This window comes from Homo sapiens, chromosome 16, assembly GCF_000001405.40.
Source record: "Homo sapiens chromosome 16, GRCh38.p14 Primary Assembly".
NCBI lineage: Eukaryota > Metazoa > Chordata > Mammalia > Primates > Hominidae > Homo > Homo sapiens.
In genome coordinates this window covers 17,093,976-17,109,484 of record NC_000016.10, presented here as the reverse complement: position 1 = coordinate 17,109,484, position 15,509 = coordinate 17,093,976, and the positions used below count along the sequence as shown (strand labels likewise).

General features: G+C 44.7%; 1 protein-coding gene and 1 pseudogene across 2 annotated transcripts in view, besides 3 other annotated features; both read left to right on the top strand.

Annotated features, from left to right (window-relative positions):
• The window catches only part of XYLT1 (xylosyltransferase 1), a 369,192-nt gene extending 361,476 nt beyond the window's left edge, over nucleotides 1–7,716 (top strand). For both annotated transcript variants that reach the window (XM_047434458.1, NM_022166.4), the window contains one exon: nucleotides 468–7,716. In XM_047434458.1, the coding sequence (XP_047290414.1) occupies nucleotides 468–790 (323 nt within the window). In that variant the 3' untranslated portion in view covers nucleotides 791–7,716. The remainder of the gene's footprint in view (nucleotides 1–467) is intronic.
• Nucleotides 2,560–3,127: an enhancer, noted in NCBI's record as "H3K27ac-H3K4me1 hESC enhancer chr16:17200215-17200782 (GRCh37/hg19 assembly coordinates)". NCBI's record gives its function as "activates a minimal SCP1, AML or CMV promoter by ChIP-STARR-seq in naive H9 embryonic stem cells {active_cell/tissue: H9 hESC(naive)}" and the evidence as "EXISTENCE:reporter gene assay evidence [ECO:0000049][PMID:30033119]".
• Nucleotides 2,560–3,144: a biological region, named in NCBI's record as "H3K27ac-H3K4me1 hESC enhancer GRCh37_chr16:17200215-17200782".
• Nucleotides 3,075–3,144: a silencer, noted in NCBI's record as "silent region_7234". NCBI's record gives its function as "represses an Ori minimal core promoter by ATAC-STARR-seq in GM12878 lymphoblastoid cells {active_cell/tissue: GM12878}" and the evidence as "EXISTENCE:reporter gene assay evidence [ECO:0000049][PMID:35858748]".
• TCERG1P2 (TCERG1 pseudogene 2) lies at nucleotides 14,558–15,132 on the top strand (annotated as a pseudogene).

The window sequence follows — 15,509 nt, the reverse complement described above, 5'->3', positions numbered from 1 at the left end:
GTTGTTCTCCCTCCACTGGATCTTAACCTTCCTATCTGGTTTGCTCCACCACCTAGAATAGATCCTGGTACCTAATAGGTACTTAATATGTCTTTATCAAATGAGACAGTGCCTTGCAGATCATGGGTGTTTAGTAAATATGTGTTGACTGAATGCCTGGCACAATGTAGGTGCTTAAAAATATATATTGGCTGAATCAGTGTCTGCACTATCAAAGATGCGCTATAAACATGTGTTGAATGAATAAAGGCATGCACCGTGCCCTGTACAAAGTGGGCTCTGTCCTTACGGGCTCAGTTTTCTCAGCTGTGAAATGGGACTGCTAAAAGAACTTCCTCATGAGATTGTCATGTGAATTAAATGAGGCGATGCATGGCACCCAGTGCAGCACCAGGCACAGGGTAAGTATGAATAGGCATCCTATTGGTGGCTCTTCTGATCCTGAAATTGTTCCCTTTGGCTTTCAGAGGAGGCACTGAAGCTGCACAATGGGCCCCTCCGCAATGCCTACATGGAGCAGAGCTTCCAGAGCCTAAACCCCGTCCTCAGCCTGCCCATCAACCCCGCCCAGGTGGAACAGGCACGGAGGAACGCAGCCTCCACGGGCACAGCGCTGGAGGGATGGCTGGACTCGTTGGTGGGCGGGATGTGGACTGCCATGGACATCTGTGCCACGGGCCCCACAGCCTGCCCGGTCATGCAGACCTGCAGCCAGACGGCCTGGAGCTCCTTCAGCCCTGACCCCAAGTCGGAGCTGGGGGCAGTCAAACCTGATGGCCGGCTCAGGTAGCACTGGGCACGAGGAGTGGGCCACAGCAGGATCTCAACGGGAAAGCAGCCAGAGGGGTTGTGGGGCCTGAACCCCGGCCTCCCACCCTGGGGGAGGCCCTCTGTGAATGGGTCTCTCCTGGCCATAGAATGATGGAAAGGGAAGGTCAGCAGGTCAAAGCAGGATCAGCCAACAACCTGCCTTTGGCAAGCTGCGGGTGGGATGGCTCAGTCCCTGCACTGTGACTGTCTCACCTCTTCTGGTTGATCCTCAAGTCCTACAGGTTCCTTGTCTTCCCCTTCCAGTGACCCACCCCTGACCCCAGACGTGTGATTTTCAGACTTTTCTTTCGAGCAGCAGAACTTCGTTTACGGAGCACAGTCATAAGTGGAGGTTCAGGGTGCTGACGAAATCCAAGCTGCTCTGGTTGAAGCTGACAAGTGCGAGGTTCCCTCCCAAAGCTCAGCCCTCTGGGCGGTCCCCTTGCCCAGGGTATCTCCTACGGTACCTCTTCAGAACCCAAGGGCTCTGCAAATGCCAGTTTGACAAGCACTGCCCAGACCAACCATGGGTTCAAACTCCAGCCCTGCCCTTTGGTTCATTTTTCTGCTTCTCTTGGCTGGGGGACTCTGGTGCCAGCCTTGAAAGTCATGGTCGTGGGCCCTTTCCCATGGAGGCTGCAGCCTTAGGAGAGCTCTGAGCCTCTCAGCAGCCCTCCTTGGGTTGAACTATTCTCCTTAGTAACTAGGTAAGTGGGAAAGCCTTTTGATGTGGCATGGCCAAGGTCCAGCCACAAGTGCAACTGCCACCTGTCCAGGGGTCTGGGCCTCCTTCCCTCAAGGCTGCCACACAAAGTAGCAGAAATAGGATGATGTTTGTGAGCACCAGACTCAAGACCATGACCTTCTTTGATCCTTGAAAATGGGAACTTTGACAGCCATGACCATGAAACTCACAAGGCAACGCGATGAAACTCACAAAGCAATGCTTGGAGCAAAACTCCTGAGCTAGACAGCACAGCAGCACCCATCCCCTGCCAGAGCCCTTCCGTTCTGAGGTCAGACACACAAAACCTTCGTCAATTGCACACCGGTGCTGTTGGGAGTGACCAAACCACATGAACCAGACTTTTCCCGTCCAGGAAATAGCATTTCAGATTTGGTTTTTAATTTCATGCCCTTCGGCCACAGGCTCAACGGGACATGCAACATAAAAATGGGAAGGTTATTTAAACAACAAAAAACAGTATGATTTAAGTGTTGAGTTACCAGAAACCCAAAAGGTTTCCTTGCCACGAGCCCCCTGGAGTGTCATCCCTGTTCACCAGGAGAGCTCTTCGCAGGAGGCCTCCCTTGCTCCTGTAATCCCACCTCCCCTGAATGATGGGATTCCCTTGGAAAAAGGTCTCACCCCTGGTAGCCATCTGCCCTTCCCATGGAGAGCCAGTCCTGACACTTCTCTCCAGCGTGGGTTTGAAGGGGCTGCCCTTCGCTTTGTGTGACTTGTCCTAATCCTAGCCAGATGTGTTGCCCCATCCCAAGCCTCGCAAGGCAGGGTGTCCTGTTGGCAATGGAGGACGTAGAGAAGGGACACTTTAGATATTTATTATTTACATGTTTTAGTCGATGACTAATTAGTAGGTGCTGTTTTTGCAGCTTGTCAATTATGTTACCTTACTAACTGAAGCTGCCTTTATTCACAAAAGGCCCCTTTTCCCATCTTTTCCCACCCCCTGGTGTCTCTCTCTCTCTCGGTTTCTCTTTCTCTGCGTCTACCCCCCATCCTCCTCATCCTCAGAGTAAAGCAGGGGCATCGAACACCACGCAAAGAAAGCTCCAACCCGCATCTTCCACTGGCTTTGAGTGGGGTGCCTTGGGGACCGTTGGAGCCTTGTTTTTTTCCTTATGCAGAGTGTCAGCCTCACTCTCCCTCGGATTCCAAGAGTATTGGAATTCCTGAGCCTCCCATCCTCCCCCTACTCACCCCCCGTCACAGGCACAAGGAGGTGACAGGCAGAAAACGTGGAGGGTGAGTGGGGAATGTGCTAGCTGCAGAGAGTTTGTGGGGAATGTGCTAGCTGCAGAGAGTTTGGGCCATTCCTGCTTGCTCCGTGGTTGCCTTCCCATGGCCCATCTAATTATGGGCATTCATGCGACCTTAACAGAGGGAAACAGGCTCCTTTGAGAGAGATCCATCTTAGGAGGAGGGTCGTCAGATCCAGGCAGCAGAGTCCGGGAGATAGCCATTCTCAACAGCGATTCCAGGGATCTCAGGGTACTTTTCTCAGAAAGCCCCTATGATCTCTTTTACAGACTCTATGGTGGCCACGCGCTGGGTGCCACATCCTCTTTCTGCCCCCGGCCTCTGCCTCTGGCCAGGGTTTCCCTGGGGCTGCCGAAGCCACTTTGGGAGCTTCCCTTTCACCCTCCTTGCTGGGCCACCAGTGCTTTGTGTTCGCAGCGTTATTTGCAGTGGCTTTGGGGACTCAGCAGTGGCAAGTCCCTGTGCATAATGTGAACCTGCAGACTTCAAGATGGGGCCCCTCCTGCACCCACTAACATGTCTGCCTTTTTTTGTTTTTATCCTGGAACAAGTGGAGAAATGGCAGAGCTGGCTGACTCTGGGGACCCTTCCCTTTTTCCCATGGCTTCATTTCTTCCTCACCACAACTAATTCGGGGAGCTGAGAAGTCACACAGGGTATTCCTCTCCCTTCTCTGATGTTATTAATTAATAGACCAGAGAATAAGGTTGCAGATATTACATTTGTTGTGTTTTTGTGTTTTGTTTTTTTTTTTAAGGAAAATCCCAAACAAAGCCCAGCATGATTTGAGAAAAGAGGATGTTTTCCCAGGGAAAATAATTTTTTTAACCTGCCTGAGAATGATTTATTTATTTGTTGGAGGCCATTGGTCAGACAGCCTGGAGCTTGGGCTGTGGAAGATTTCAAAAGCATAGGGCTGTGGTCTCTGGAAACCTATTACAGCCTGCAGCTGTGAGCTGAGCCAGTGACGAGGTCCCTGGAAACTCAGGAAGGCTGACAGGTGGGCCTTGGGGTATTGGTTTGTGGAGAAGGAAGCATTCTTTAGGCTGCGGCACTCCTTATAGTTTCCCACCCACCGAGTGACATTCAGGCAGAAATTGAGCTCAGGAGACAGCCAGCCTTCCCACATCCCACTTCACTTCCCGGTCCACACGTAAAGCAGTGTGTCTCCAAGGAGGCAGTGAGCAATTCCCAAGGTCCCCGTGTTGTGAGAAGCGCGCTGCTTTCTCCCTTTGCAGGGGAAAAAAAAGGCTTTCCTGGTGAGATCATGAGTCCTTCCGGCTTCATTTCTCATTGTGGGTTTAACTTCTAAAACGCAAATGGAGTTTAGAGAGGATGAGCAGAACCACAGGACCTGCCCCCATCTCTCACTCACTGCAATTGCTTCTACTCTGGGCACAAGTAGGGTGTCTGAAGACCATGTTTCCCTCTGGTTCTCTAGTTTGCAGATAACACAGAAGACACTGGCTAGAACCTTAAGCTTTCTGCCAAAAAGATGCAGAGAGCAGGGCAGTAGCTACTGGCAGTGGGGTGTGAATAAAGAGTCCTTTCACAACCAAGTTCACTGAGGATTTGGAGCACCAGCTTCCCAGCAGTATCGAGGGGTGGAGAGGTGTACATTCAGGTGGAGGGGTACATCTAGGGGTGGAGAGGTGTACATTCTAGAAACAGCTGTTAACACACTCCACTTTAAAGACAGCAAGCTAGACCTGCAGGATCAAAGCCACACACTGTGGTAGGGGTTACAAATGTTTATGGGGCCCAGAATACTAGCATAGATGCGTGAAATGGTTGGTGTGAGGCAAAAGGGCATGGTGGGGGCAAGGATGGGGACTGTGGTCTTACTGGCATGCACGTGACCTACCCAGAATGAGCAGCTGCTACTCAGCCCCAACCTGTCATTGTTTGTAAAAATGTAAGCACAGTGTAGTGGAATCTTCCAATTTGGAAGGGAAGCCGGAAATCCAGATTTAATGGAAAAAATCTGATTTTTCAACGTCGGGTTGTTTGTTTGTTTGTTTTTGTTTTTTTTAACAGATAGTGGGCAAAGAAAAATTCCACTGTTCCACGTGTACACTGCCAGCAACCTCTGCTCTCTGGAGAGGTGGTTTAAAGTGAGATTATGCATTGCCCTGGTAGAAGAGGAAAAAAGCCAGCATCAGGTCAGGGCAAAAATAACAGCCCATGTTGAACTCGGAATGGGGACCTCTTGCTAAGTCATTCCACTCCTCAAGAGACCATTCCACAGAGGGGGGATGGATCATTCAGCTCTCCTGGTCCCAAGATTGTGCTGAAGGGAAGAAGGAATAGAATCTGGAGATCTGGACTGCTGCCCCTTAGATATGCAGAGGTCCACATCTGCCTGGGGCTACAGCTTGTGGGACTCCATCAAACCAGGCCGAAATGGCAAAGACAGTCTAGGAGGAGGAGGAGGTAGGGTGTGAAACAGCCAGGCTCTCTCCAAATCCCAAGTGTTGACACAGCCATCTTGTCCCATCCCTGGAAGCCTCTTTGGAAACCACATAGAGCTGTGCTGGCTCACGGGATGTCCTGTTTGCTTCTGCCTCAGTTACCTTACTTTGCCCATGGGTCTACCACAGGCGCTACCTCATTGTGTCTGCTGAGAAGTTTACCTGGGAGGGGGGAACAAAGTTGTCCAAATCTGCTTGAGCTGAATGTATGATCTATGCAAATTCTCTCTCTCCTCTCTCTCTTCCTCTCTGGCTCTCTTAGAAGTTTTTTTGTTTTGTTTTGTTTTGTTTTGTGTTTACCTTGCAAACAAGATACTGTATAGGACCCTCTTAAGATGGAGGAGGGCTTTCTTGCGCCACCTGTGTCTACCCCTCACGTTGTCTTTGGCTCTGGTCTTACCAGGCGTATGCAGGGAGAAAGTGACCTCTCTTCCCTCTCCACTTGGCTGGGAATATTCCAACTGCCTCTGCCTACAGATACCACCAGAAAGCGGGTTCTGCACCTTGTCATCCCCCTCCCTAACGTCATCTACTCCATCCCTCATGTTCCTCCAACTTGCTTCTCCCATCCCTCCTTCAAAAACAAAACAAAACAAAACAAAAGCCTTAGGTTTCTCCTTTTTGAAATGTGGCCTTAACATTATTTTTGGGAAGCTGACCATCCATCCTTTCCCTCCCATCTCCACCAACATCAGAGAAGACAGCATCGTGAAGCTTCTGTGGCAGCCTCCTAAGGAAGGGGCTGCCAATCTGTAGTTGGCAGATGCTATAGGAATTGCTTACAAATGTCGTCTTTAAGAAAAATGTTCTTATATTTTTCCTATGGGCAAAATGAAGGCTTGGGTGCTCATCTAAAGCTCAGCCAACTCCTGAAGCACTCTCTCAGAGCATACTGCTGCTGTAATGGGCTGGCTTAATTATCGGCAGAGTGCTTGAAAAGGCTTTGCAGACCTCCCCTGCCCCCAAGACTGGGTGACTTTATATGTACTTCATTCAAGGGTAAATCAGGAGACGTTCTCCATTTATCTCTTCGTCCTTCCTGCCTGGAAAGTGATAGCACTAAATATTCCCAGCAGATGGGTAGTGTTCTCAAAGGAATCACCCTTTCCCTACCTTCAGACTCTATTCTTTACCCTTCCATTGCTCCAGTGCTGATGGAGGCCAAAGACAACCCCAGGGTTTTCATAGGAAATTCACTGGAATTGTGCGCAATTGTCTTTGTAGTCCTTTTGCCTTTTTTTTTTTTAAATATTATGTTGTCAATAGCATTTGTTTGGGTATTTGTTTTAGAGGCCTCACTCTAAGTTATTACCGTCCCCTTCATTGTTTTCAAAGACATGTGGTGATATAGTTTTTAAAAATAACTATTTTGTTATAGATCATAATATGCATAAAACTGTACAGAAATATTTTGTAATGTGTTGATTTTAAAAAAAATCTGTAAATAAAGTTTTAAAAAAAGAATTCAAATGGCACACGCTGAAATATGTAGATATTTTGCTATTTATTTAAAGGAGTATTTTAAGAGATATTGAACTATCTGAAATTGACCAGTAATCAAAGTTCCAATCATCTGAATGCTTTTCCTTGAGGTAGAATGTGAGTCTCAGAAATGACTGCATTACCTGCCCTTTTTTGCACCTTTTCTGTCTTTTTATTTTGCAGAACAACAACAACAACAAAATTGTGCCTTAGCTGTATTTTTTTGTCTAGGGGAGTTTGTTTCTGTCTGACAAAGCAACATTTTTTGCAGAAAACAGTGGATGTATTAAATACTGTATCATACCAAAAACACTGCAGGTGTATATAGATGCTTTCTGTCATACTGTGTTTTCAGATGCAGAATTTTAAAATTAAAAAAACACTGCCTTTATGGAACAGTGACTATATGTGGCTTCTTTTCAGCAACATTGTGCATCTTTACACAATCTCATATTCTCTTCTGTCATCTGCATGGTGAAGATAGGATGACTATATAATTTATCATCCAAACTGGGATACTTTTGAGAGTTAAAGGAAGCACCACGTGGATGGGATGCTGAGACTGCAGGCATAAATGGCCTATCCTGGGAAAACCTGGGTGTGTGGACACATTTCCCTCATAAAAACTGCTGTCATCTTCTAACTGGATTATAGCAACAACCTCCTATAAGTACCTCCTGGTTGAGGCAGAAGTATATGATTTTTAAACCCGTACTGAGTAGAGAATAACAAGAAGGGACTGCCATGGAAAGTTGCAGTTTCCTATACCCAACTGGTTGGTTGGTTGGCAAACGTGTTTTCCTTTCCTCTTTACCACAGAGACTACATTTCCCAGACTGCCTTGCTCTTAGCTGTGACCATGTGACCAGGCCAATGGAACAGCTAGACTGCATCTTCCAGACTGCCTTGCTCTTAGCCATGGCCATGTGACTGACTCAGGCCAATGGAATGTAGGTAGAATAGGTACATGGCACCTCTAGCCCTGGTCCCTAAAACCTCCCACTGGAGTCTCTCCTCTCTCAATCTTTCCCTATTTGCCAGCTCAGATGTTTTGAATCACCTTGATTTTGTACATTCATCCACTTGGCCTATTCAGGTGGTCTTTTTGGAAACTTTGCACAGCCTCTACCTTAAAGGAAGGCAGAGCCACAGTTTGGAAGGTAACTGAGCCCCTGCATAGCCACATAAAAGAATGCTTGACCAGAGTCACCCCTATTGACTATGACATGAAAAGAAATAAATATGTATTTTGTTATGCCCCTGAGACTTTCAATTACAGCAGGCTAGCCTTACCTTAATTAATCCAATCAGAAATGGAAATTCAAATGTTTCTTTGGGAAAATCCACATTTTGGTTCCTTCACTCAGTCGGTAAAGTAGAGAGCCAGACAGGTGAAGGGATTTGCCTGAAGCTACCCATGGTCATCAGGGTCAAGTCTAGAACCAAAGTTTCCCATCTTCCAATGAGACTTTCATAAGTCACTGGGAAGACCAGTTCCTCCACCCCTGAGGTTAGCTCACTATTATGTATATATGTGGTTTCTGAGGGCTATGCCCAGGGGTTGGGAGCCTAGATGCCTGGGTTGTAAAGATGCTTCTAATTCACCCTTCAAAATCCTTAAAGGAAGACAGGCACTGAGACACAGATAGGATTTTAGCAGCTAGAACAAAATAGGCTAGATATCTCCCCATTAGACACACAGAGGGGCAAATATATGGAGAGCTGTGTCAGCTTCAGCCTCCTTGAGCTTGGCTCAGGAGAGATGGTGACTGACTCCATATTTAGACAGATGGATGGACCCAAGATTCATTTGTCAAAACCTCTTTCCAGCCTGATCTTACAGCCAACTTCCCTTTCCTCTGCCCGGAGATAATTCCTCAAAAAATGAGTTCAGTTGCAAGGGAAGAATAAATTTCTAAAATCTGCGTAGGAGTAAGGATCACAGTTATCTTATTCACTGTGGTACCTCCAGTATTTAGCACAGTGAGTCCAGCGTATGGGCACTCAGTGAATATTCAGTGAACGGACAAGTGAATGAGACCATATATCTTAATTAATTAACAATATGGGCATGGGGCCATTTGTCCAAGATTCTGTCTTTAAAACCATCATTTGATGGATAGTATTTGTCAAAATATGGGTCATTGTAAAGTAAGCTGTGATTTTTTACCTTCAATAATGAGGTTTCTGGGCCTACTGAAGGGTCAGTTGGAATTTCTTTCCTGCTTATTTACTGGGTTTAAGTTCATTAAATTCGTGATTTTAAGAGTTTTTTTTTTCTTCTTTAAGGGGAATGCTTTTTCAAGCAGTGTACCTTAAACCTCCACATATATATATATTTAAAAAAAAAAAAAGACTTAAAAATGGGTGATTAGGAGGGGTGCCCTGGGTGAAGTGAGAGTAGAAAGCTTTGTCTCAGCAAGTGCACCCACCCCCACCAGCCCGCCTCTTTCATGGCTCCATGGGATACGTAGATGACCATGCTTTGAAGTCACACCACACCGATGTTGAAAACATCTAGGCTTTTTGTACGGTTGGCTTTGAGGCCTTGCTGCCAAGGTGCTGAAAGTTGAGTTCTAGGCTGGGTCTCTGAGCATGAGACCAAACCAAGAATAATTCAGTCCACCTGGTGTTGGCAAGTTGTAAGGGTGGAAACTTAGAGCTGGGGCAAAAAGGAGGTATGGCTGGCCTGACATGTTTTGGAGACTCTTGATCCTGTGCATTCATAGTTAGTTCATTTGTTCCACTGCTCTGCCTGGAAACATCATCAGCCCTAACCCTGACAGGGAGTACTGGCCTGAGAACCAAGAGGCCCAGGCCCTTCACAGCTTTGGTTGTGCCACTGATTTGCTGTGTGATCATGGCGAGTCTCTCTTCCATGATGAGTCTCAGCCCCCTCAACTGCCAAATAAATGGGAGAATGGGGCCTATTGATACCTGGGGTCCATTCAAGTTCAGACGTGTAAGTGTACAGTCCAATTGCCACCCAGCACCAAATACAGAACATGTTAAGGTGCCAGCTCCATGCAAGAAAATGTTCCCAAGATGTGATTGTTGATGTTCACATCTATGTTAGTCAAGGTTCTTTCACTTTCAAGTAACAGTAACCCAATTCACAGACGTGTAATCAGAAGGGGAATGTATTAAGTTATGAAACGTTAGAAGACAACAATTAAAACGCAAATTACAAGAACTAGGACAGCACTCAGGGGACTCAAGAACTGAAACTGGAGCCCCAATACTCACAGCCCTCTCTTCCTCCATTTTTGCTGGCCTTTGTTTGATATTATCTCCTACAGACAGCTAATTCCACATGGTAAATAAAGAAGGCCCCAGAAGTTCTTGCTGCTTGTCCTTTGAACTCCATAACACAAAAATATCAACGTCCTTTGTCCTCACTGCCAAAAGGGCTGGCTCTAACTCTGGACCTATCACTCAGATCAGGCAAACAAGGCACTACGATTGGCTGAACCTGGATGGTATGCTGACCCCTGCGACCAGGGCATTGGACGGTAAACTGTGATTGGCAGCCCCATCCCCATTACATGATAGGAGTAGAAGAGAAATGGATCCCCGGCGGGAGAGGATGGTGTCGAACAGACAAAAACAACAGATGTCCATTCACTGCCACAGCCAACTGCAGGCCCAGGTGGCTTCTCCGCTTGCCAGTCCAATTCGTTTCTGCTCCTCAAGTGCCCAAATTTTCTCCTCCCAGTTCCTCTATACCTCCCTAAGGAGAAGGACTCTGGGCCTATCTTAAGCAAATCATTTTAAATAAATATCACATGGATGGTGCAGATGATTTCACCCTCACTTAATTAGCTGTGGAGTGTTTATGCTTATGGAACATGATGGATTGCTCCTTGTAGCCTGGGCACAGGACACTTTAAAAAGGCCCTTGTAACAGCCCTTTGCTAATGATGGTGGATGATTTTAACTTGCTGCAGGAAGCAAGGCCTGCGTACCTGCCATGAAGAGCGGCATCTCTCTCCACGTTTCTGGAGCATCAGTATTCCAGGCTCCACACTGCGCTCTCCACTGCCCCGTCCCCTTAGCAGGCCCACAGAATGCTCGTGCTAGCCAGCGCATCCATGATACGGTGTTTGTGGCTTGCTGAGTCGATGCGTTAAGCTTCTAAACATAGAGCTGATGAGAATAGCAATGGCTAACCCTGTGTTAGAAAGCACTGGTAACGGACGGGCTATTAGGCATCAGAGCAGATTAGGTGAGACTCCAGAAAAACACCGGGAATATTTTCCAAATTACACATCCAGACTGATCCACCTACTGCCAATTTTCAATTGCCTCTGACCAAAATAAGAACCCCTCCCCCAACTTAAGGGTCAGATAATCCTGTGTCCAAACATTTGTTTTTTTATCATAGATTAGCTAAGTCAGATTTGAGACAAATTCCCTAATCTCTCTGGGCCTCAGATTCCATATATATATATATATATATATATATATATATATATATATACACACACACACACATATATATATACACACATATATATGTATATACATATATATACACACACATATATATGTATATACATATATACACATATATATGTATATACATATATATACACACATATATGTATATACACATATATATACACATATGTATATACACATATGTATACATATATATATACACATATATATACACATATATATATATACACACACACACACGTATAGGGGATAATAATTACCTATAAAGCTGCTGGGAGAATTTTAAAAAGACAAAGCCTGTGAAATAGATAGCCTAGTATCTGCATACAGAAAGAGCTCAGTAAATATCAGTTATTTTCGCCTTCTCACTCCAAAGGTGAAAGTTCCTTGAAGGCAAGGACAGTGTCTATATTCTCGGCACACATTACATGCCTTGACAATGTAAGATGTTGTGCCAGTGTTTGATGAATGAATGAATGAGCGTGTGAACTGGACTGCTGCTACATCCATAATTTCCTCAGGGGCGTTCCATTTAGTCTGGCCTCCACATTTGCTATTGCAGACTGGATATCTTCCTGAAGACTCCATTTGCGACAAAGTGGCATCACCTTGACTTCAGAGATTTAAATGAGATTTTTTCAAAACACCCCAAACTGTGGGAGACACAGTATTGCCCCCCAATCTCTTTGGAGGGTCTTGGGGAGTCAACTTCAGCTACAACCCTGGGTCTCATTTCCACTGAATTGGTTCATTTTACAGATCACCCCTTTATTCTGCAAGTTCTTTTTTTTTTTTCTCCTTTCTGCACTGTATGACCTCTCCCTAATAAGTACCCTGGTCCCTTTATTCCTCAAAATACAATTGTAGAGCTATGTAGAAAGCAGATTCCATCAAGGCATTCAGATAAAGGATTGCATAAGATTTCAAATGATTTAGAATATTACATACCCCCATTCTCAGAAGTTTTAGAAATCTCTCAATGGCCACCTGCCTGGGCAATTTCCAGCTTCCAGACACGTTTCCATCTCCCTCTCTTTATTCCCTGCCTGTTCTGTCTGCTCTCCTGCACCTCCCAAGACACTCTGTTATCTCTTTTCACCTTGCTGACTCTTCGCAGACCAGCCCCCCTCATGACTTCACATTCCACACCTAAAAAATACTGGAAAGCTAAGTTCTCTCGTAAGTTCCAAGCTTCTATGTTCTTACCTGAGAGGAGATCTGGTGCCAGCTATGATGACAATTACTACAAAACACTCTCCCTCTCCACTCCAATTACTCGGATTTAATACAATCCCTGGCTTCCATGCAGTGTCTGAGCATTTTGGCTCTATTCCCTAGGTGGTGCTTTTAAAAATTTTTTTGTAAAACCTCTGGGGCCTCCTTCACCAGCAAGAAATTATTTTAGCATCACTGGCCTCAGTCTCATTCTATCATCAGCATCTGCTAATTTAATCAAGAATGAGTTGTGAGCAGGGAGGTTGCAGGTATCCAAAGATGAAACTGGATGAATTCCAGGAGCAAGAATTTCTCAGAACTAAGAACATTGACATTGCAAGGTTGGGTCCAATAAAGTACACTTCTTCCTGCCAATTTCATTTTTCAACCTTGACTATTCATGGTTTGGATCAGCAGATAGTAATATCACCTTTGTCATCAAGGAGCCTAGGATTTATTAATCTAATATGGGTATCGGCCCAAACTTGGCTTCAAAGAAACAGGAGAAGAGCAAACAGGGACATTAGAAATATAGAGCCCTGGGTTTTGGTGCGGTCGCATGAGATGCATCAGGCGCTTGATGTCCCTGAGTCCCGGTGCCTCAGCTGCCCAGTGCCCACGTTCATAAGAAGGCAACAAATTCTTCTCCTCTACAGAAGGATTTTGCAAACAATTTGGCAAGTTCCAAATGATTCTGATTGCAAATACCTGAAGGACTGGGCAAGGGAAGAATTCAGAAGAAACAAAACTGCCACCGAAGAGGATACAATCCGGTTGATGATTACTCAAGGCAATATGCAGCTCAAGGAGTTAGAAAAAACACTTGCTTTAGCAAAATCTTAACTATAGCATTATTCTGACGGATTTTCAAAGTCTCCATGTATTTTGTTTCATTTAGGATTGACAGTGGACAACACAAAGCCCAGTCTTACTATTTGTATGTACAGTATTTGGTGATAGAGAGCAAAGGAAAACACATCAAAACAGTTGCCTTAACACTGAAAAACATACCCTGCATTTTGAAAATGTTTATGGATGTCTCAGCAGTTTTTTAAAGAAGAAAAAACCACTAACAAATGGCCAGTAGATGCTGGACACAATCATTAGGGAAGTGTAAATCAAAACTACTATGAGGCCGGGCACAGTGGCTCACGCTTGTGGTCTCAGTACTTTGGGAGGCCAAGGTAGGTGGATCACTTGAGGTCAGGAGTTCAAGACCAGCCTGGCCAACATGGTGAAACCTTATCTCTACTAAAAATACAAAAATTAGCCTGGTGTGGTGGTGCATGCCTGTGGTCCCGCCTACTTGGGAGGCTGAGGCAGGAGAGTCACTTGAGCCCAGGAGGTGGAGGTTGCAGTGAGCTGAGATCGTGCCACTGCACTTCAGCCTGGGTGACAGAGTGAGACTCTGTCTCAAAAAAAACAAAAACAAAAACAAAAAACAAAAAACAAAACAAACCCTGAGATTCACATTCATTAGAATGGCTGTAGTTAAAAAGAGAAATAATAGTAACTGTTGGTGAAGATGTACAGAAATTGCGGGTGGGAACGTAAAATGGTGTAGCAACTTCAGAAAACAGACTGTCAGTTCCTTGAAAGATGAAACAGCTGCTGTATGATTTAGCAATTCTACCCCATGCCCATAGCCATTATTTGGCACTAAAAAGAAACAAAGGATTGATATATGCTAAACGTGGATAAACCTTGAAAACATTAAGTGAAAAAAGCCAGTCACAAAATATCACATGATGATTCCATTCATATGAAATGTCCAGAATAAGCAGAAAGATTAGTGGTTGCCTAGGCTGGCTGTAGGTAGAATGGAGTAACTGCTAATGGGTGTAGGGTTCCTTTTCAGGGTGATGAAAATATCCTACAGTTAGCTTGTGGTGTAGGCTGCACAACTCTGAATATACTCAAATCCACTGAATCATACATTTTAAATGTAAGGTATGAATTGTATCTCAATAAAGCTGTTATTAAAAAGAAAAAACTCTGAGGTGTAGGACTGAAAGTACACTGACACCAGGAGATACCCTGGAACTTTCTCAAAAAATCCTGCATTATCCCTGAGGGTTGTTCAGGTATGTTCTTCACATGTGTCATAGTTTGATAGAGGACTCATCAAAAAGATCACTACTTGGAATCTAGATCTTTGTTGGAAAGGGAAGAGAAAGAGAAGCTTAATGAGCACATTGAAGTACTTAACAGAAAGAAGAGGGAAGACTTCTGGATGAAACCTCTGTGTGTACCTTAACATTCACGTGGAAGTAGTAAAAATAAGATTCTGGGTGCAGTTCTCCTCCAATGACAGGAAAAAAAACAAAGAGAATTTGAAGAATACGTTAGAGACAAATACATTACAACCAAAGTTGACTTCAGGGGACTTTTGAAGGAGATCAAATTTATAACAAATAATTTAGTGAAAAATGTGAAAGTGAAAGCTTGTGGAAGATGCTGGAACATCCATCCTGAAAATTGAAGTCTTCTGTTCGTCAACAGAACAGCTAAGAAGCTAATCTAAGAATGACCAGCACCTGAAAGATGTAGACAACATTTTGCAGAATGATAAATGGTATTCAGTACTGGACTGTGCCTGAGGAGAGGCTTCAACTGAATGTGGATGTTGATGACCTGGACTGTCAGGGTCCACCTCTACCTCCCAGAGCCTCAGAGCCCACAAGACAAAGTAAGTCTGAATACTGTTCCATGGGGGTAATCTACTAATTCAAAATGCTTGCCTGTGCCAATTTTCAGGTTTTTATGTAGATAAGTATTAGTTAACCTGTTGCAAAATGATCTGACAAATAGGAGAAGCATTTGTGACATTTATGAACAGAGAACACTTTGGAAATATTTTTTTGTGACATGATTGATATATACAAGCTATCTCTAGTAAATTTAACTTGAAACTCAAAATCATCCTTTTATGGGTATAGAAGGCAGTGATTTAATGATGCTCTTCCTAACAGTGGTGTGCATGGAAAGGTTTTCATTAAAGAGCATTATATGGTTTGCATTTGCAAGATGCAACTAGCACAGACTCCAAGAAAACCTAAGTGTTTTTT